Here is a 21126-nt window from a genome sequence, read left to right on the forward strand (position 1 = left end):
TGGTGGTACATGCCTGTGGTCCCAGCTACTCAGGAGGCTGAGACGGGAGGATCACTGAAGCCCAGGAGTTCAAGGCTGCAGTGAGCTGTGATACTCTAGCAACAGAGTAAGACCCTGTCTCTTTAAAAAAAAAAAAAAAGATAATGGATACAAAGCATTTTTTACATTATAAAGCAGTACAGAAATACATGCTCATTAAAATTAGTTATGATGACTACTATAGAAGAATGTTTGACAAAGAAAAGCTGTAGACAAAAATGAATATGGCTATGTAAATTATGTGCACATTTTAGATAAAGACAGGAAGGAAATAAGCAGAAATGAAAAATCATTGAGTTAAGGCAGGGGTCAACAAACATTTTCTGTAGAGGGCCAGACATCAGGCTTTGCTGGCCATACAGTCTCTGTCACAACTACTCAATGCTGCCATTATAGTCCAAAAGCAGCCATAGAAAATATCTAGATGGAGGTGGGGCACAGTGGCTCACACCTGTAATCCCAGCACTTTGGGAGGCTGAGGCGGGCGGATCACAAGGTCAGGAGATCGAGACCATCCTGGCTAACACACTGAAACCCTGTCTCTACTAAAAATACAAAAAAAAATTTAGCCAGGCATGGTGGTGGGCACCTGTAGTCCCAGCTACTCGGGAGGCTAAGGCAGGAGAATGGCGTGAACCCAGGAGGCATGCAGTGAGCCGAGATCACGCCACTGCCCTCCAGCCTGGGCCACAGAGCAAGACTCCATCTCAAAAAAAAGGAAAAAAAAAAAAAGAAAAAAATATCCAGATGAAGAAACATGCCCGGGTTATAACAAAACTTTATTTATGGATGCTAAAATTTGAATTTCATATCATTTTCTCATGTCACAAAATATTATCCCTCTCTTTTGACTTTCATCAACTATTCAAAAAAGTAAAAACCATTCTTAGCTCATGGGGTGTCCAAAAACAAATGGTGGGTTAGATTTGCCCTGTAGTTTGCTGACTCCTGGGATAGAGTGATATGTAATGAACAATTTTTTTATTATAATTTTCTTTAATGCTGTTATAGCCTTTTATACTTAAAGGGAAAAAAGATACCATGAACTCCCCAAGGACTGCCAGAGTAATTCAAAACCGACCAACCTCAGATTCAAACATGAGTCAGCTAGCCCTTCTGTCCTCTGCAAACACATGTCCCATATACCAAGGTGTCACAACCCTTCTCTCCTTGAGGAGCCCAGTACACATCTTGCTTATTCCTCAGCTTTGGCATTTCAAGTTCCTTTCCGATGTCTTTAACCCTGTCAGCCCAAATCTTACCACTTGCCTCAAGAACAAACCCTAAGCTCACCTACTCCAAGAAGTCTTCCTGCATCCAAAGAGATTACCCCTTTGCTTTATTAAGCAAAGTGAACATAGTTGTTGTTGTTTTAACACAGTCCTCAATTGTTACGTCCCAGTCTGTTTTCTCTCCCAACATGACAGTAACATCAAGGGCAGCACCCATGACCTCTGCTACTTTTCCACCTCCCACAGGTCCTGGCTCCTCTTAGAGGGGAACACGCAAAACAGCACTTCATAAATGCAATGAATCGGTTGCACCAGCCAATGCCCAGGTTTCTGCTGTTGATTTTAGTGATATGATCAGTGTTCTCTGCTGATCTGCCACAATTAGCTATATCGCCCATTATAATTGTTCATCTGGTCATTATTTTGGCACATTCCAAGCTGGTGCAAAGTAATTATATTCTAAACACGGAGCCGCTCACTCCAATTCCAGGCCTTGGCAACAACATTATGAGATAACATTATACGAAGATGCTATGAATCAATCAGCTAGGTATAAGGAGGATATTTAAAAGAAAGAATGGAAAAACGGCAAATCAACCATGTGAAACCTGCTTTAATCAAACAGAGTATACTTCTAAAACTAGAAGCCAGTGAGGAAAAGATTGCCAAGCCACACAGACACAAAGAGAACAAGAACAAAAACAGATGTATAAATAAGTCAGTTTCTCTCCCACCTTCATTCTTCTCTGAACACCAGGTAACAGCCTCTTCTTGGTCTCCCTCCAGAGTGCCACCTAGTGCCCAGGCAGGGGAGGGCAAGTGGGAAGCTGACAGCTGCTGTCACTTCACTTCTCAGTTTAGATTTCTTTTTTTTTTTTTTAATTATACTTTAAGTTTTAGGGTACATGTGCACATTGTGCAGGTTAGTTACATATGTATACATGTGCCATGCTGGTGCACTGCACCCACTAACTCGTCATCTAGCATTAGGTATATCTCCCAATGCTATCCCTCCCCCCTCCCCCACCCCACAACAGTCCCCAGAGTGTGATATTCCCCTTCCTGTGTCCAAGTGATCTCATTGTTCAATTCCCACCTATGAGTGAGAATATGCAGTGTTTGGTTTTTTGTTCTTGCGATAGTTTACTGAGAATGATGTTTTCCAATTTCATCCATGTCCCTACAAAGGACATGAACTCATCATTTTTTATGGCTGCATAGTATTCCATGGTGTATATGTGCCACATTTTCTTAATCCAGTCTATCATTGTTGGACTTTTGGGTTGGTTCCAAGTCTTTGCTATCAGTTTAGATTTCTTAAAGACAGGCCCTCAACAAGGGCTCCAGAATGTGTCCAATTACCACCGGCCACTTATTGGGACTATTAACTCATGTGACAGATATATCATCTCATTTTATCATCACAAGAACTCTATGAAGTATGTACTTTAATCTTCGATTTAATATAGAAACAACTGACAAATACTGGCTAAAAAGTGCTACTTATTGAGTGGCCTCAAGTGCCAGGCCCAGCCCTGGAGATTCAACACTAAGCAAAGCACAGGATCTCTGCCTTCATGGAACTTACCTTCTAGTGGGAGAAACAAAAATAAGCAAAAGAAAATAAAAGTTTAACAAGATTATATCTGAATGTGTAAAGTGCTATAAAGGACATTAAAAGGTTAAATGGGTAAAGAGTCATTCTTAATTAAAAGTCGGAGAGAAGGGGAGTATTTCCACACAGACTCAGCCTAAATGTGCAGTGAGAATCTCTGCAGACTCAAACAGCACAACTCAGGACATCCAAGAACCAGGGTGGACATGCTCTGTCCACAGGGCTACGACAGAAACTCCACTAGGGGCAGACCCCCTCTATACAGGTGTGCTGTGCGAAGAGTAGCTTGGGGGTGAGGGGGCATAGCCTGCGTGCATCCAGGAAAACTGAGAAAACATAAAGAGGAAACTACAGATAGGGTTTGTAAAGCATAAGATCCAGAGGGAAAATGAGATGGAAATACTTATGCTAATATATGTCAAGGAGAACGTTCTTGATGCTTTAGGAGCATTTGAACCTGCTGTGCATGTAATTTATGTAACAAGCCAGAGCTGCTGTGATCGCACTCCTCTGGCGTTTAGCTATTGGAAGCTATGCAATCTGCTGGCAGTTTGTCGGTTTGAGTTTACAACGCTGCCTAGCAGAAGCATTTCTTTCTAGATACTCTTCTTGTCATGGTTCCAGGGGTTAACGGGATCAGCTTTCCTCAGGCATAGAAAAACGTATTGGTAATAGGATAAAATCCAGTAGATTATGCTTTTTCTGTAATGGTGTAATTTTATTAAAATATCAAACCCTTATTACGATTATTATTTATTATATATAAAAAGAGATATGGTGTTCAGGGTAAGGACTAAAGCAACACAACCATATCAGTACAAATAGAATAACCCCCTGACTGAACTCAGGCCATCTCTCCTTCATCCTGTTAAATGAAAACAGCTATATGATGCACACTGTTGTCTTTTCTAGAACGTTCTCCTTACTCCCTCATGCAAAAGCCTTTCTTCTTTGAGCTTTAAGCCATGCGTTTCAGCCCCCTCTGGCCCTCCTTGTTATCTCTCTACCTTGTAGCCACTCTTTGTCACTCCCTGAGGACACTTGCGCGGGGTACACAGTCCTCCAAGTGCCCACATCTTCCTGTGTGACATTTCTTCAGTCACCCAGACAAGCTGCCTAGCACCTGAGCACTTGGTCTTCCTCTCTGTCTCTTTACCTCCTCTCTCCCTCAGCACCTACTGCCCAGGCAATATCTAAGGAATTGTCACTTCACAGGGTTGTACTAATTCTAAAATATCAAACACTGATATACTCATCTCTGGCCATAAACCCCTTCCCTCCAGCTCATTCACACCCTTATTCCTACTTCACCAGCCCTTGAAACTCAAATATACACCATATCTTTCCTTTCTCCCTGGTGCATAACTCCTTGATGATGTAACTTCCTTCCCCATAAAGCCTCATCTTTCTATCAGTCTATCCAGCAGAGATTTATGGAGTCCTTACTATGTGCAGGTGCTGATCTAAGCACAAACATCAAGCCTGGTCACTTTATGGAGCTTACACCTTGTGGAAGCATCAGACAAACCAATAATACTTGCAGTACAGCAACAGGAGAACATACAGAGCTCTGAGCTAGAATAAAGATTAAAGTGTGTCATTTCTGTTGCCCTCTAACAATCATTTTCAACATTCAGCCCTCTTGTCTTACTACTCCATGGCTCCCAAAAGTCCACTCTAACTTTGGATATTGTGGATCAACCCAAAGACTCACTCTTAGAGAAAAAAAAAAAAATCACATAAACCTGCCAAGTGTTCTTACTGCAAATTAATGGTTTCTAATTTCAGGCTAGCCTGTAGCTAAGGCTTCCATGTACAGTTGAGGTTGTAAACTTCACAACCCTTGGAATATCATTCAGGTAAACTATCATGAGAATATTATTGGTGTCTCTACTCTTGTGCATTACATAAGCTAGGCAACCATATGCAGTAGCTTCAACCACAGTAATATTTTTATGGAGGTTTTTATTTGGTTGGTTAATTGGTTGACTGGTTGGTTTTTGATTAGCTCCTTTTATAATGTGCTATTATAGCTGTTCCAACTTTTCATACTCAATTTCAAAAGGTACCCCAGCTTTTATTTGACCCAGATAATCAAAGCTATCAAATATCAACTCCCTCACAATCTTTCTCCCACACCTATTATTATTCCTATACCTATAGCTACCTTTCTATTTTCTTAGAGCAAAGGGTGAGACTTTTCCATTTTAAGGCTAAGCCCTCCAGCTCTGCTCTGGATTCCCTATCTTAAGGAACTCTATCACGTGAATATAAAGTATTTTGCTCCCTCCAGGCACAGACCATTTTCTGGAAATACAAATTCACACTTGGCCTCAACCTCCTCACCACTCAGGTTGAACCCAGGGCAAGCTGGCATCCACCCTCAGCACCCACGTGGGCTGTTCTCACCATAAGATTTCTATTAGATATACCAAAAGAAGCTTTTCAATCCTTGTGTATTTGCTGACAATTATCTTTCTCAAAATTTTGTCTTACCCTGGCTTCTGTGAAAACTCTCTCTTGGTTTTGCTCCAACTTTTCTGGCAATCTGGATCTCTCCCTTTCGCTGCATTTCCATAGCCCTCGTCTTCTCTTGCACGGAATACTCCAAAGCATTTCAGTTGGTCTCCCTGGCTCAGGTGTAACCTCCTCCAATCTGTCTCCATAAATAGAAATTCAGGATTCTTTCTAAAATTTTAATCGAATCCCGTCGTTTCCTGGCAGGAAATCCTCCAGTGGCTTTCCAGTGCCTACGAGTAAAATTCACACCCCCTGGGATGGCATTCAAAACCCTCTCTTATCCAGAACCTTCGATCTCTTACTTCTACTCTGCCTCTCTCCCTACTGACCTCTTTCACTGCCAGCTCCAGATACATTGAACTACTTGCAGTTCTCCTTATTCTTTCCTTTGCCTTCATAACTTAGCATAAGAGGTTCTCTTTTTAATTATACTTTCGGTTCTAGGGTACATGTGTACAATGTGCAGGTTTGTTATATAGGTATACATGTGCCATGTTGGTTTTCTGCACCCATCAACTCGTCATTTACATTAGGTATTTCTCCAAATGCTATCTCTCCCCCAGCCTCCCAGCCCCCCATCCCAAGACAGGCCCCAGTGTGTGATGTTCCCCGCCTTGTGTCCAAGTGTTCTCATTGTTCAGTTCCCACCTATGGGTGAGAACATGCGGTGTTTGGTTTTCTGTCCTTGTGACAGTTTGCTCAGAATGATGGTTTCCAGCATCGTCCATGTCCCAGAAAAGGGCATGAACTCATCATTTTTATGGCTGCATTGTATTCCATGGTGTATATGTGCCACATTTTCTTAATCCAGTCTATCATTGATGGACATTTGGGTTGGTTCCAAGTCTTTGCTATTGTGAATAGTGCTGCAATAAACATATATGTGCATGTGTCTTTATAGTAGAATGATTTATAATGCTTTGGGTATATACCCAGTAATGGGATTGCTGGGTCAAATGGTATTTCTAGTTCCAGATCCATGAGGAATTGCCACACTGTCTTCCACAATGGTTGAACTAATTTACACTCCCACCAACAGTGTAAAAGCATTCCTATTTCTCCACATCCTCTCCAGCATCTGTTGTTTCCTGACTTTTTAATGATCGCCATTCTAACTGGCATGAGATGATATCTCATTGTGGCTTTGATTTGCATTTCTCTGATGACCAGTGATGATGACCATTTTTTCATGTGTCCGTTGGCTGCACAAATGTCTTCTTTTCAGAAGTGTCTGTTCATATCCTTTGCCCACTTTTTGATGGGGTTGTTTTTTTCTTGTAACTTTGTTTAAGTTCTTTGTAGATTCTGGATATTAGCCCTTTGTCAGATGAGTAGATTGCAAAAATTTTCTCCCATTCTGTAGGTTGCCTGTCCACTCTGATGGTAGTTTCTTTTGCTGTGCAGAAGCTCTTTAGCTTAATTAGATCCCATTTGTGAATTTTGGCTTTTGTTGCCATTGCTTTTGGTGTTTTACTCATGAAGTCTTTGCCCATGCCTATGTCCTGAATGGTATTGCCTAGGTTTTCTTCTAGGGTTTTTACGGTTTTAGGTCTCACATTTAAGACTTTAATCCATCTTGACTTAATTTTTGTATAAGGTGTAAGGAAGGGATCCAGTTTCAGCTTTCTACATATGGCTAGCCAGTTTTCCCAGCACCATTTATTAAACAGGGAATCCTTTCCCCATTTCTTGTTTTTGTCAGGTATGTCAAAGATCAGATGGTTATAGATGTGTGGTGTTATTTCTGAGGCCTCTGTTCTGTTCTATTAGTCTGTATATCTGCTTTGGTACCAGAAGCATGCTGTTTTCACTACTGTAGCCTTGTAGTGTAGTTTGAAGTCAGGTAGCGTGATGCCTCCAGCTTTGTTCTTTTGGCTTAGGATTGTCTTGGCTATGTGGACTCTTTTTTGGTTCCATATGAACTTTAAAGTAGTTTTTTCCAATTCTGTGAAGAAAGTCATTGGTAGCTTGATGGGGATGGCATTGAATCTGTAAATTATCTTGGGCAGTATGGCCATTTTCACGATATTGATTCTTCCTGTCCATGAGCATGGAATGTTCTTCCATTTGTTTGTGTCCTCTTTTATTTCAGTAAGCAGTGGTTTGTAGTTCTCCTTGAAGGGGTCATTCACATCCCTTGTAAGATGGATTCCTAGGTATTTTATTCTCTTTGTAGCAATTGTGAATTGGAGTTCACTCATGATTTGGCTCTCTGTTTGTCTGTTGTTGGTGTATAGGAATCCTTGTGATTTTTGCACATTGATTTTGTACCATGAGACTTCACTGAAGTTGCTTATCGGCTTAAGGAGATTTTGGGCTGAGATGATGGGGTTTTCTAAATATATGATCATGTCATCTGTAAACAGGGACAATTTGACTTCCTCTTTTCCTAATTGAATACCCTTTATTTCCTTCTCCTGCCTGATTGCTCTGGCCAGAACTTCCAATACTATGTTGAATAGGAGTGGTGAGAGAGGGCATCCCTGTCTTGTGCCAGTTTTCAAAGGGAATGTTTCCAGTTTTTGCCCATTCAGTATGATATTGGCTGTGGGTTTGTCATAGATAGCTCTTATTATTTTGAGATACGTCCCATCAGTACCTAGTTTATTGAGAGTTTTTGGCATGAAGGGCTGTTGAATATTGTCAAAGGCCTTTACAGCATCTATGGAGATAATCGTGTGGTTTATGTCGTTGGTTCTGTTTATGTGATGGATTACGTTTACTGATTTGAGTATGTTGAATAAGACTTGCATCCCAGGGATGAAGCCAACTTGATCATGGTGGAAAAGATTTTGATGTGCTGTTGGATTCGGTTTGCCAGTATTTTATTGAGGATTTTCACATCGATGTTCATCAGGGATATTGGTCTAAAATTCTCTTTTTTTGTTGTGTCTCTGCCAGGCTTTGGTATCAGGATGATGCTGGCTTCATAAAATGAGTTAGTGAAGATTCCCTCTTTTTCTATTGATTGGAATAGTTTCAGAAGGAATGGTACAAGCTCCTCTTTGTACCTCTGGTAGAATTCAGCTGTGAATCTGTCTGGTCCTGGAGTTTTTTTTTTTTTTTTTTGGAGGGTAGGCTATTAATTACTGCCTCAACTTCAGAACCTGTTATTCGTCTATTCAGAGATTCCACTTCTTCCTGGTTTAGTCTTGGGAGGGTATATGTGTCCAGGAATTTATCCATTTACTCTAGATTTTTTAGTTTATTTGCATAGAGGTGTTTATAGTATTCTCTGATGGTAGTTTGTATTTCTGTGGGATTGGTGGTGATATCCCCTTTTCATTTTTTATTGTGTCTATTTGATTCTTCTCTCTTTTCTTCTTTATTAGTCTTGCCAGCTGTCTATCAATTTTGTTGATCTTTTCAAAAAATCAGCTCCTGGATTCATTGATTTTTTTGAAGGATTTTTCGTTTCTCTATCTCCTTCAATTCCACTCAGATCTTAGTTATTTCTTGCCTTCTGCTAACTTTTGAATTTGTTTGGTCTTGCTTCTGTAGTTCTTTTAATTGTGATGTTAGGGTGTCGATTTTAGATATTTTCTGCTTGCTCTTGTGGGCACTTAGTGCTATAAATTTCCCTCTACACACTGCTTTAGCTGTGTCCCGGAGAATCTGGTACATTGTGTCTTTGTTCTCATTGGTTTCAAAGAACTTGTTTCTTTCTGCCTTAATTTCGTTATTTACCTAGTAGTCATTCAGGAGCAGACTGTTCAGTTTCCATGTAGTTGTGAAGTCTTGAGTGAGTTTCTTAATCCTAAGTTCTAATTTGATTGCACTGTGGTCTGAGACACAGTTTGTTGTGATTTCTGTTCTTCTACATTTGCTGAGGAGTCCTTTATGTCCAATTATGTTGTCAATTGTAGAAAAAGTGCGATGTGGTTCTGAGAAGAATGTATATTCTGTTGATTTGGGGTGGAGAGTTCTGTAGATGTCTATTAGGTCCACTTGGTACAGAGCTGAGTTCAAGTCCTGGATATCCTTCTTAACCTTCTATCTCCTTGATTTGTCTAATATTGACAATGGGGTGTTAAAATCTCCCATTATTATTGTGTGGGAGCCTAAGTCTCTTTGTAGGTCTCTAAGGACTTCCTTTATGAATCTGGGTGCTCCTGTATTCAATGCATATATATTTAGGTTAGTTAGCGCTTCTTGTTGAATTATTCTCTTTACCATTATGAAATGGCCTTCTTTATCTCTTTTGATCTTTTTTGGTTTAAAGTCTGTTTTATCAGAGACTAGGATTGCAACCCATGCTTTTTTTGCTTTCCATTTGCTTGGTAGATCTTCCTCCATCCGTTTATTTTGGGCCTATGTGTGTCTCTGCACATGAGATGGGTCTCCTGAATACAGCACACTGATGGGTCTTGCCTCTTTATCCAATTTGCCAGTCTGTGTCTTTTAATTGGGGCATTTAGCCCATTTACATTTAAGGTTAATATGGTTATGTGTGAATTTGATCCTGTCATTATGATGGTAGCTGGTTATCTTGCTCATTAATTGATGCAGTTTCTTCATAGCATCAATGATCTTTACAATTTGGCATGTTTTTGTAGTGGCTGGTACTGTTGTTCCTTTCCATGTTTAGTGCTTCCTTCAGGAGCTCTTGTAAGGCAGGCCTGGTGGTGACAAAATCTCTCAGCATTTGCTTGTCTGTAAAGGATTTTATTTCTCCTTCACTTATGAAACTTAGTTTGGCTGGATATGAAATTCTGGGTTGAAAATTCTTTTAAGAATGTTGAATATTGGGCCCCACTCTCTTCTGGCTTGTAGGGTTTCTGCTGAGAGATCTGCTGTTAGTCTGACAGGCGTCCCTTTGTGGGTAACTTGACCTTTCACTCTGATTGCCCTTAACATTTTTTCCTTCATTTCAACGTTGGTGAATCTGACAATTATGTGACTTGGGGTTGCTCTTCTCAAAAAGTATCTTTGTGGGGTTCTCTGTATTTCCTGAATTTGAATGTTGGCCTGCCTTGCCTGGTTGGGGAAGTTCTTCTGGATAATATCCTGCAGAGTGTTTTCCAACCTGGTTCCATTCTCCCCATCACTTTCAGGTACACCAATCAAACGTAGATTTGGTCTTTTCACATAGTCCCAAATTTCTTGGAGGCTTTGTTCATTTCTTTTTACTCTTTTTTCTCTAATCTTGTCTTCTTGCTTTACTTCATTAATTTGATCTTCAATCACTGATATCCTTTCTTCCACTTGATCAAATTGGCTACTGAAGCTTGCGCATGCATCACAAAGTTCTCCTACCACGGTTTTCAACTCCATCAGGTCATTTAGGGTCTTCTCTACACTGTTTATTCTAGGTAGCCATTCGTCTAACCTTTTTTCAAGGTTTTTAGCTTCCTTGCGATGGGTTAGAACATGCTCCTTTAGCTCAGATAACTTTGTTATTACCGGCCTTCTGAAGCCTACTTCTGTCAACTTGTCAAAGTTATTCTCCATCCAGCTTTGTTCCATTTCTGGCGAGGAGCTGCGATCCTTTGGAGGAGAAAATGTGCTCTGGTTTTTAGAATTTTCAGCTTTTCTGCTCTGGTTTCTCCCCATCTTTGTAGTTTTTATCTACCTTTGGTCTCTGATGTTGGTGACCAATAAATGAGGTTTTGGTGTGGATGTCCTTTTTGTTGATATTGATGTTATTCCTTTCTGTTTGTTAGTTTTCCTTCTAACAGTCAGGTCTCTCAGCTGCAGGTCTGTTGGAGCTTGCTGGAGGTCCACTCCAGACCCTGTATGCCTGAGTATCACCAGCAGAGGCTGCAGAACAGCAAATATTGCTGCCTGATCCCTCCTCTGGAAGCTTTGTCCCAGAGGGGCACCCGCCTATATGAGGTGTCTGTCAGTCCCTACTGGGAGGTGTGTCCCAGTTAGGCCACATGGGGGCCAGGGACCCACTTGAGGAGGCAGGCCGTCCGTTCTCAGAGCTCAAACGCCATGCTGGGAGAACCACTGCTCTCTTCAGAGCTGACAGACATAGATGTTTAAGTCTGCAGAAGTTGTCTACTGCCTTTTGTTCAGCTATGCCCTGTCCACAGAGGTGGAGTCTAGAGGCAGTAGGCCTTGTTGAGCTGCAGTTCGAGCTTCCCAGCCACTTTATTTACCTACTCAAGCCTTAGCAATGGCAGACGCCCCTACATGCCCCCACAGGCTGCAGCCTCACAGGTCAATCTCAGACTGCTGCACTAGCAGTGAGCAAGGCTCCATGGGCATGGGACCCACTGATCCAGGCATAGGAGAGAATCTCCTGGTCTGCCAGTTGCTAAGACCATGAGAAAAGCACAGTATTTAGGCGGGAATGTACCAATCTTCCAGGGACAGTCTGTCATGGCTTCCCTTGGCTAGGAAAGGGAAATCCCCCGACCCTTTGCACTTCCCAGGTGAGGCAATGCCCCGCCCTGCTTCAGCTCGCCCTCCATGGGCTATACCCACTGTCCAACCAGTCCCAATGAGATGAACCAGGTACCTCAGTTGGAAATGCAGAAATCACCCGTCTTCTACATCAATCATGCTGGGAACTGCAGACTGGAGCTGTTCCTATTTGGCCATCTTGGAATGGACAAGAGGCTCTCTTTGCCAGAAATGTTCTTTATCACCAGCAACATTTTATTAAATTTATTACTTAATGTTCACATGCATAAAATAATTATGAAATGTATATGTCACATAAAAACAATGAATCCACTATGCAGCCTGAGGACTAGAACATCACCAATTTTAATTGCATCTACCCATGTGCTCTTTCCCAGCCTCCTCCAAGAAGTAACTATTACCTATATCATAAATTTTAGGTTTCCATTTCTCTTGCTTTACATAAAAATTTACTGAGGTACAGTAATTTTTGCACATCCATCAAACCATCACCACAATCAAGATAATGGCATTTCATGACCACAAAATGTTCCCCTCACCACTTTGTAATCTCCCATCCTTCAGCATGCTCTCTCCACCTCTTTCCCCAGGCAACCACAATGTGCTTTCTGCCACTATAGATCAGTTTGCATTTTCTAGAATTTTTATTTAAATTGAATCATACAGTGTACACTCTGACTTCTTTAACTCAGAAAAAGTATTTTAGAATTCATCTACATTGTTGCATATGTCAACAGTTCATTCCTTTGTATTGCTGAGTAGTAGCCTATTGTATAAATGCATCACAATATACTTACCCATTACCTATTGAGGATGTTTGGATTTTTCCCTTAAAAAATATATAAAGCTGCTATGAAGATCTGTGTACAAGTCTTTATATAGTCACATGCTATATTTCTCTTCAGTAAATAAAAGTCAAGTAGCAGGGTCACATAATAGGTATATATTTGATTTTTAAAGAAACATCCAAACTGTTTTCTAAAATGATTATTCTATTTTATGTTCCTACCAGAAATGTAGGAGAGTTCTGGTTCCTCCATATCAACACTTGGTATGGTCAGTTTTTAATTTTAACCATTCTAATAGGTACATAGTGGTTTCTTGTAGTTTTAGTGTCATTTCTTGATAACTAATTGATGCTGAGCTTTTTTCTTATCTCTTGAACATATACAATGCAGTTATAATAGTTGTTTTAATGCCTTGTTTGCTAATTTTATCATCTGTATCATGTCTGGGTCAGTTTTCATGTGCTTATTTGCCATCTTCATATCTGCTTTGATGAAATGTCTGTTAAAATCTTTTGTCTATTTTTTATTGGGTGTTTGTCTTATTGAGTTTTAAGAGTTCTTTCCATATTTTGGCTAAAAGTTTTCATTAGATACACGACTTGCAAATTTTTTTTTTTCCCAGCATGAGGCTTGTCTTTTTATTCTTGTAACAGCATCCTTCAAAGAGCAGATTTTTTTTCAGGCATTTTTTTCCTTTATTTCATTGGGACAGTTTATGCTTAAATGCCCTCAAGATTACTAATTTTTTCTTCTCTATTTTCTAATCCAGTATAAAACCCATTCGACATGTTTTTTCCTTTGTAATAGTTTCATCTCTAGAAGTCTGATGAGTCCTTTTTATATCTTTCATGATTCCACTTATTATGCTCAGTCTTTTCTCTTGTTTCCTGAATATACAGAATACAGTTATAGAGCCCGGGCACAGTGGCTCGAGCCTGTAATCCCAGCACTTTGGGAGGCCAAGGCGGGTGGATCACCTGAGGTCGGGAGTTCAAGACCAGCCTGACCAACATGGAGAAACCCCTTCTCTACTAAAAATAAAAAATTAGCCAGGCATGGTGGTGCATGCCTATAATCCCAGCTACTTGGGAGGCTTAGGCAGGTGAATCGCTTGAACCTGGGAGGCAGAGGTTACAGGGAGCTGAGATTGCACCATTGCACTCCAACCTGGGAAACAAGAGCAAAACTGTCTCAAAAAAAAAGAAAAAAAAAAAGAATACAGTTATAATAATTGTTTTAATGCCTTGTCTGATAATTTTATCATCTGTAGTTTTTCCATGCTAGTTGATGGGAACTATTTACAGCTCTGTGTGTACTCCAAGTATTGCTCTCTCTAATCCTTTTGGGTGGCCCTTTCCTTGACTTCAAGTAGTTTTTACACAGGCCTGCTATGATCACTACTCAGCTGAAGACTAAAGGGGGACCCTTTGCAGCTCTCTGCAACTTTCTCTCTGTGCAATTTTCTTCTCTCTGGTGCTACACTTTGGCCTACCTATACTCCTAGTTCCATCTCCTTACTCAGGAAGACTGCTGAGCTCTGCCTGGACTCCCCCTCCCTATGGCATGGCCTCTTCAGGCAGTAAGCCAGGGAATTATAAGGCTCAGATTGTTTTTCAGCCCTCAAGATCATTCTCCTTGATTGTCTGATACCTGATGGTTTGAAAACTGTCATTTCATATATCTTTTCCATTTTTTTCATTGCTTCAGGAGGATGGGTCCCTATTACTTCATCTTGGCAGAAATGGAGTGTGTTCTCCTCCTGTCCCCTGCTATCTCTCCATTTTTAACAAATGTACAGATCCTTAAATAATGTTATTTAGTTTTTATTGTTCTTAAGCTTTATAAACACACTATATGTTATGCAATCCCCTGGGTTTTATTTAATTTTATTCAATGTCATGTTGTTAACCATCAATCATGCTGCTGCAGATAACTATAGTTTATTCATTTTTAGCACTGGATAACATTCCATTGGGTGAATATACCACCCAATGGAATTTTATTTCATATTGATGGAGATCTGGGTTGTTTCCAGGTTTTTAATCATAAAAACAATGCTGCTATGAGCATCCTTGAACATGCCCCTGATGCAACTTTGCATGAGACTCTAGGCATGAGTCTCATACCTAGGAATAAGATTGCTAGATTTTATACTGTCTTGTCACATGCTTGTTATTTCAGGTTCTCAGACTTTTTACATTTTGTGATCTATTGAGCATCTAACAGTATCTAGTTGCAGTCTTATTTGTGTTTCTCTGGTTACATATGAGGTAAAGTATCGTTTCGTATGTTGGTAGTCATTTGTGCTTCCTCTTCAGTGTGATGGCTGCTCACGTGTTTTGCCTATTAATTTACTGGGTTCTTTGCCATTTTCTTATTGCTTTGTGGAACTTTTCTTTAAAAAAGTATTCCCAAATCGTAACTTATCTTTTCATTTTCTTCATGCTGTCTCTGCTGAATAGAAATTCTTAATTGTAATGTGGTCAAATGCATCAAATTTACATTAGCTTTTTTTGGTAACTGCCTTAAGAAACCCTCTACTGGGGCCTGACTCTTAGAAGGAAAACTAAAAAAAACAGAAAAGAAGAGCATCAACATCAACAAAAGGGACGTCCACGCAGAAACCCTGTCCGAAGGTCACCAACATTAAAGTCCAAAGGTAGATAAATCCACGAAGATGGGGAGAAATCAGTGCAAAAACACTGAAAATTCCAAAAAGCAGAATGCCTCTTCTCCTCCAAAGGATCACAACTCCTCACCAGCGAGGGAACAAAACTGGATGGAGAATGAGTTTGACAAATTGACAGAAATAGGCTTCAGAAGGTCGGTAATAACAAACTCCTCTGAGCTAAAGGAGCATATTCTAACCAAATGCAAGGAAGCTAAGAACCTTCAAAAATGGTTAGTAGAGGAATTGCTAACTAGAACAACCAGTTTATAGAAGAACATAAATGACCTGATGGAACTGAAAAACACAGCGCAAGAACTTCATGAAGCATACACAAGTATCAATAGCCGAATTGATCAAGCGGAAGAAAGGACATCAGAGATTGAAGATCAACTTAATGAAATAAAGCATGAAGACAAGATTAGAGAAAAAAGAATGAAAAGGAATGAACAAATGCTAAAAGAAGTATGGGAATATGTGAAAAGACCAAACCTACATTTGATTGGTGTACCAGAAAGTGACTGGGAGAATGAAACCAAGTTGGAAAACACTCTTCAGGATATTATCCAGGAGAACTCCCCCAATAGAGCAAGACAGGCCAACATTCAAATTCAGGAAATGTAGAGAACACCACAAAGATAATCCTTGAGAAGAGCAACTCCAAGACACATAATTGTCAGATTCACCAACGTTGAAATGAAGGAAAAAATGTTAAGAGCATCCAGAGAGAAAGGTTGGGTTACCCACAAAGGGAAGCCCATCAGACTAACAGCAGATCTCTCGGCAGAAACCCCACAAGCCAGAAGTGGGGACCAATAATCAACACTTAAAAAGAAAATAATTTTCAACCCAGAATTTTATATCCAGACAAACTAATCTTCATAAGGAAGGAGGAATAAAATCCTTTACAGACGAGCAAATGCTGAGAGATTTTGTCACCACCAGGCCTGCCTTACAAGAGCTCCTGAAGGAAGCACTAAACATGGAAAGGAACAACTAGTATCAGCCACTGCAAAATCATGCCAAATTGTAAAGACCATTGACACTATGAAGAAACTGCATCAATTAACAGGCAGAAAAACTAGCTAACAACATAATGACAGGATCAAATCCACACATAACAATATTAAAAAACTACCATCAGAGAATACTATAAACACCTCTATGCAAATAAACTAGAAAATCTAGAAGAAATTGATAAATTCCTGGACATATACCCTCTCCCAAATCTAAACCAGGAAGAAGTCGAATGCCTGAATAGACCAATAACCAGATCTGAAATTGGGACAGTAATTAATAGCCTACAAATCAAAAAAAGTCCAGGATCTGACAGATTCACAGCCAAATTCTACCAGAGATACAAGAGGAGCTGGTACCATTCCTTCTGAAACTATTCCAATTAATAGAAAAACAGGGACTCATCCCTAACTCATTTTATGAGGCCAGCATCATCCTGATATCAAAACCTGGCAGAGACACAACAAAAAAAGAAAATTTCAGGCCAATATCCCTGACGAACATCAATGCAAAAATCCTCAATAAAATACTGGCAAACCGAATCCAGCAGCACATCAAAAAGCTTCTCCACCATGATCAAGTCAGCTTCATCCCTGAGATGCAAGGCTGGTTCAATATACACAATCAATAAACATAATCCATCACAAACAGAACCAATGACAAAAACCACATGATTATCTCAATAGATGCAGAAAAGGCTTTCGATAAAATTCAACACTACTTCATGCTAAAAAACTGTCAGTCAACTAGGTATTGATGGAACATATCTCAAAATAACAAGAACTATTTATGACAAACCCACATTTAATATCATACTGAATGGGCAAAAACTGGAAGCATTCCCTTTGAAAACCAGCACGAGACAAGGATGCCCTCTCTCCACCACTCCTATTCAACATAGTGTTGGAAGTTCCAGCCAGAGCAATCAGGCAAGAGAAAGAAATAAAGGGTATTTAATTAGGAAAAGAGGAAGTCAAATTGTCCCTGTTTGCAGATGACATGATTGTATATTTAAAAAACCCCATCATCTCAGCCCAAAATCTCCTTAAGCTGATAAGCAACTTCAGCAGTCTCATGGTAAAAAAAATCAGTGTGCAAAAATCACAAGCATTCTTTCTTCACAGAATTAGAAAAAACTACTCTAAGTTTCATATGGCACCAAAAAAGAGCCCACATAGCCAAGATGATCCTCAGCAAAAAGAACAAAGCTGGAGGCATCATACTACCTGACTTCAAACTATACTACCAACTATACACCAATAATTACACAGAGTCAAATCTTGAGAGAACTCCCATTCACAATTGCTACAAAGAGAGTGAAATACCTAGCAATACAACTTACAAGGGATGTGAAGGACCTCTTCAAGGAGAACTACAAACCACTGCTCAAGGAAATAAGAGAGGACATAAACAAATTGAAAAACATTCCATGCTCATGGATAGGAAGAATCAGTATCATGATAATGACCATACTGCCCAAAGTAATTGATAGATTCAATGCTATCCCCATCAAGCTACCATTGACTTTCTTCACAGAATTAGAAAAAAACTACTTTAAATTTCATATGGAACCAAAAAAGAGTCCACATAACCAAGATAATCCTAAGCCAAAAGAACAAAGCTGGAGGTATCACGCTACCTGACTTCAAACTATATTACAAGGCTACAGTAACCAAAACAGCATGGTACTGGTACCAAAACAGATATACAGACCAATGGAACAGAATAGAGGCCTCAGAAATAACACCACACATCTACAACCATCTGATCTTTGACAAACCTGACAAAAACAAGAAATGGGGAAAAGGTTCCCTATTTAACAAATGGTATTGGGAAAACTGGCTAGCCATATGCAGAAAACTGAAACTGAACCCCTTCCTTACACCTTATACAAAAATTAACTCGAGATGGATTAAAGACTTAAACATAAGACCTAAAACCACAAAAACCCTAGAAGAAAACATAGGCAATACCATTCAGGACATAGGCATGGGCAAAGACTTCATGACTAAAACACCAAAAGCAATGGCAACAAAAGCCAAAATTGACAAATGGGATTTAATTAGACTAAAGAGCTTCTGCACAGCAAAAGAAACTACCATCAGAGTGAAGAGGCAACCTACAGAATGGGAGAAAATTTTTGCAAGCTACTCATCTGACAAAGGGCTAATATGCAGAATCTACAAAGAACTTATTTACAAGAAAAAGCCATCAAAAAGTGGGCAAAGGATATGAACAGACACTTCTCAAAAGAAGACATTTATGCAGCCAACAGACACATGAAAAAATGCTCATCATCACTGGTCATCAGACAAATGCAAATCAAAACCACGAGATACCATCTCACGCCACTTAGAATGGCAATCATTAAAAAGACAGGAAACAACAGATGCTGGAGAGGAGGCAGAGAAATAGGAACGCTTTTACACTGTTGGTGGGAGTGTAAATTAGTTCAACCATTGTGGAAGACAGTGTGGCAATTTCTCAGGGATCTCAAACTAGAAATACCATTTGACCCAGCAATTCCATTAATGGGTACATACCCAAAGGATTATAAATCATTCTACTATAAAGACACATGCACATGTATGTTTATTGTGGCACTGTTCACAATAGCAAAGACTTGGAACCAACGAAATGCCCATCAATGATAGACTGGATAAAGAAAATATGGCTTATATACACCATGGAATATTATGCAGCCATAAAAAACGATTGAGTTCATGTCAAACTAACACAAGAACAGGAAACCACACACCACATGTTCTCACTCATAAGTGGGAGTTGAACAATGAGAACACATGGACACAGGGAGGGGAACATCACACACTAGGGACTGTCAGGGGTTGGGGGGCTAGGGGAGGGATAGCATTAGGAGGAATACATAATGTAGATCATGGGCTGATGGGTGCAGCAAGCCACCATGGCATGTGTATACCTATGCAACAAAGCTGCATGTTCTGCACATGTACCCCAGAACTTAAAGTAAAATAAAGTAAAATACAATCAAATTGTAAAAAAATAGTAAAAAGATACCCTCTGCTATGCAAAGGATATAAGGGGTTTTCCTAAAAGTTTGAAAGTTTTGCCTTTCACACTTAAGACAAATGACTTAAGCTTTTATTTTATCTGAAGCTTCTTGTTTACATGTGATATGAGGGAGAAAAAAAATCACTTTATCTCTACAAATAATCAAATATCCCAGAACCAGTTATTGAGTGGTCCTTCCTTACCCTAGTGACCTGTGATGCTACCTTTATTCTTCATATTTCCTGATATACGGATCTGTTTCTCTTCAGTTCCATCTGTCAATTTGTCTATCCTGAATCAATACCATATTGTCCCAATTATTAGGTTATAAGAAGTCTTAATTTCTGTCAGAGAATATCCTTTCACTTAATTTTTCTTCATTCGTTTCTTCCTTCGCAATCCTTACAACTATTTCTTTTTTCTCTCTTACTGTATTGGTTAGGAATTTGAACAAAATATTGACTTGAAGCTATGACAGTGAACATTGTCTTGTTCTCAATTTTTTTTTCTTTTTTTTTTATTATACTTTAAGTTTTAGGGTACATGTGCACATTGTGCAGGTTAGTTACATATGTATACATGTGCCATGCTGGTGCACTGCACCCACTAACTCGTCATCTAGCATTAGATATATCTCCCGATGCTATCCCCGCCCCCTCCCACCACCCCACAACAGTCCCCAGAGTGTGATATTCCCCTTCCTGTGACCATGTGATCTCACTGTTCAGTTCCCACCTATGAGTGAGAATATGCGGTGTTTGGTTTTTTGTTCTTGCGATAGTTTACTGAGAATGATGATTTCCAATTTCATCCATGTCCCTACAAAGGACATGAACTCATCATTTTTTATGGCTGCATAGTATTCCATGGTGTATATGTGCCACATTTTCTTAATCCAGTCTATCATTGTTGGACATCTGGGTTGGTTCCAAGTCTTTGCTATTGTGAATAATGCCGCAATAAACATACGTGTGCATGTGTCTTTATAGCAGCATGATTTATAATCCTTTGGGTATATACCCAGTAATGGGATGGCTGGGTCAAATGGTATTTCTAGTTCTAGATCCCTGAGGAATCGCCACACTGACTTCCACAATGGTTGAACTAGTTTACAGTCCCACCAACAGTGTAAAAGTGTTCCTATTTCTCCACATCCTCTCCAGCACCTGTTGTTTCCTGACTTTTTAATGATTGCCATTCTAACTGATGTGAGATGGTATCTCATTGTGGTTTTGATTTGCATTTCTCTGATGGCCAGTGATGATGAGCATTTTTTCATGTGTTTTTTGGCTGCATAAATGTCTTGTTTAGAGAAGTGTCTGTTCATGTCCTTCGCCCACTTTTTGATGGGGTTGTTTGTTTTTTTCTTGTAAATTTGTTTGTGTTCATTGTAGATTCTGGATATTAGCCCTTTGTCAGACGAGTAGGTTGCAAAAATTTTCTCCCATTTTGTAGGTTGCCTGTTCACTCTGATGGTAGTTTCTTGTCTTGTTCTCAATTTTAAATAAAATGTTCTTAAAATATCCCCCCATTACAATGATGTTTTCAGAAGATTTTTAGTAGATATTCCTTATCAAATTAAGGACATCCCTTTTTATTCCTAATTTGCTAAGAGCTTTTATCAGGAAATGTTTTTGACTTTTTGCCTTCTCTGCATCTTTAATTATACGGATTATTTCCTTTCATCTGTTAATGTAATAAATCAGATTTATAAATTTTCTAATATTAAACCACCTGTATATTCTTGGAATAAATTCAACTTTATTATGACACATTACCTTTTCTGTACATTATGAATTCTTATTTACTCTTTTTTGGTTATAAATTTTTCATCCATCCTCATGA

General features: G+C 39.5%; 1 protein-coding gene across 4 annotated transcripts in view, besides 1 other annotated feature; it reads right to left on the reverse strand.

The window, feature by feature from the left end:
- Nucleotides 1-21126, reverse strand: part of KCNH1 (potassium voltage-gated channel subfamily H member 1) — a 455835-nt gene that overhangs the window by 269766 nt on the left and 164943 nt on the right. The gene's annotated exons all lie outside the window — the stretch shown is intronic.
- Nucleotides 1888-2182: a silencer, noted in NCBI's record as "tiled region #3630; HepG2 Repressive DNase matched - State 12:CtcfO, and K562 Repressive DNase unmatched - State 12:CtcfO". NCBI's record gives its function as "represses a minimal TATA promoter and a strong SV40 promoter by Sharpr-MPRA in HepG2 and K562 cells {active_cell/tissue: HepG2 | K562}" and the evidence as "EXISTENCE:reporter gene assay evidence [ECO:0000049][PMID:27701403]".

The sequence above is a fragment of the Homo sapiens genome, chromosome 1, assembly GCF_000001405.40.
Source record: "Homo sapiens chromosome 1, GRCh38.p14 Primary Assembly".
NCBI lineage: Eukaryota > Metazoa > Chordata > Mammalia > Primates > Hominidae > Homo > Homo sapiens.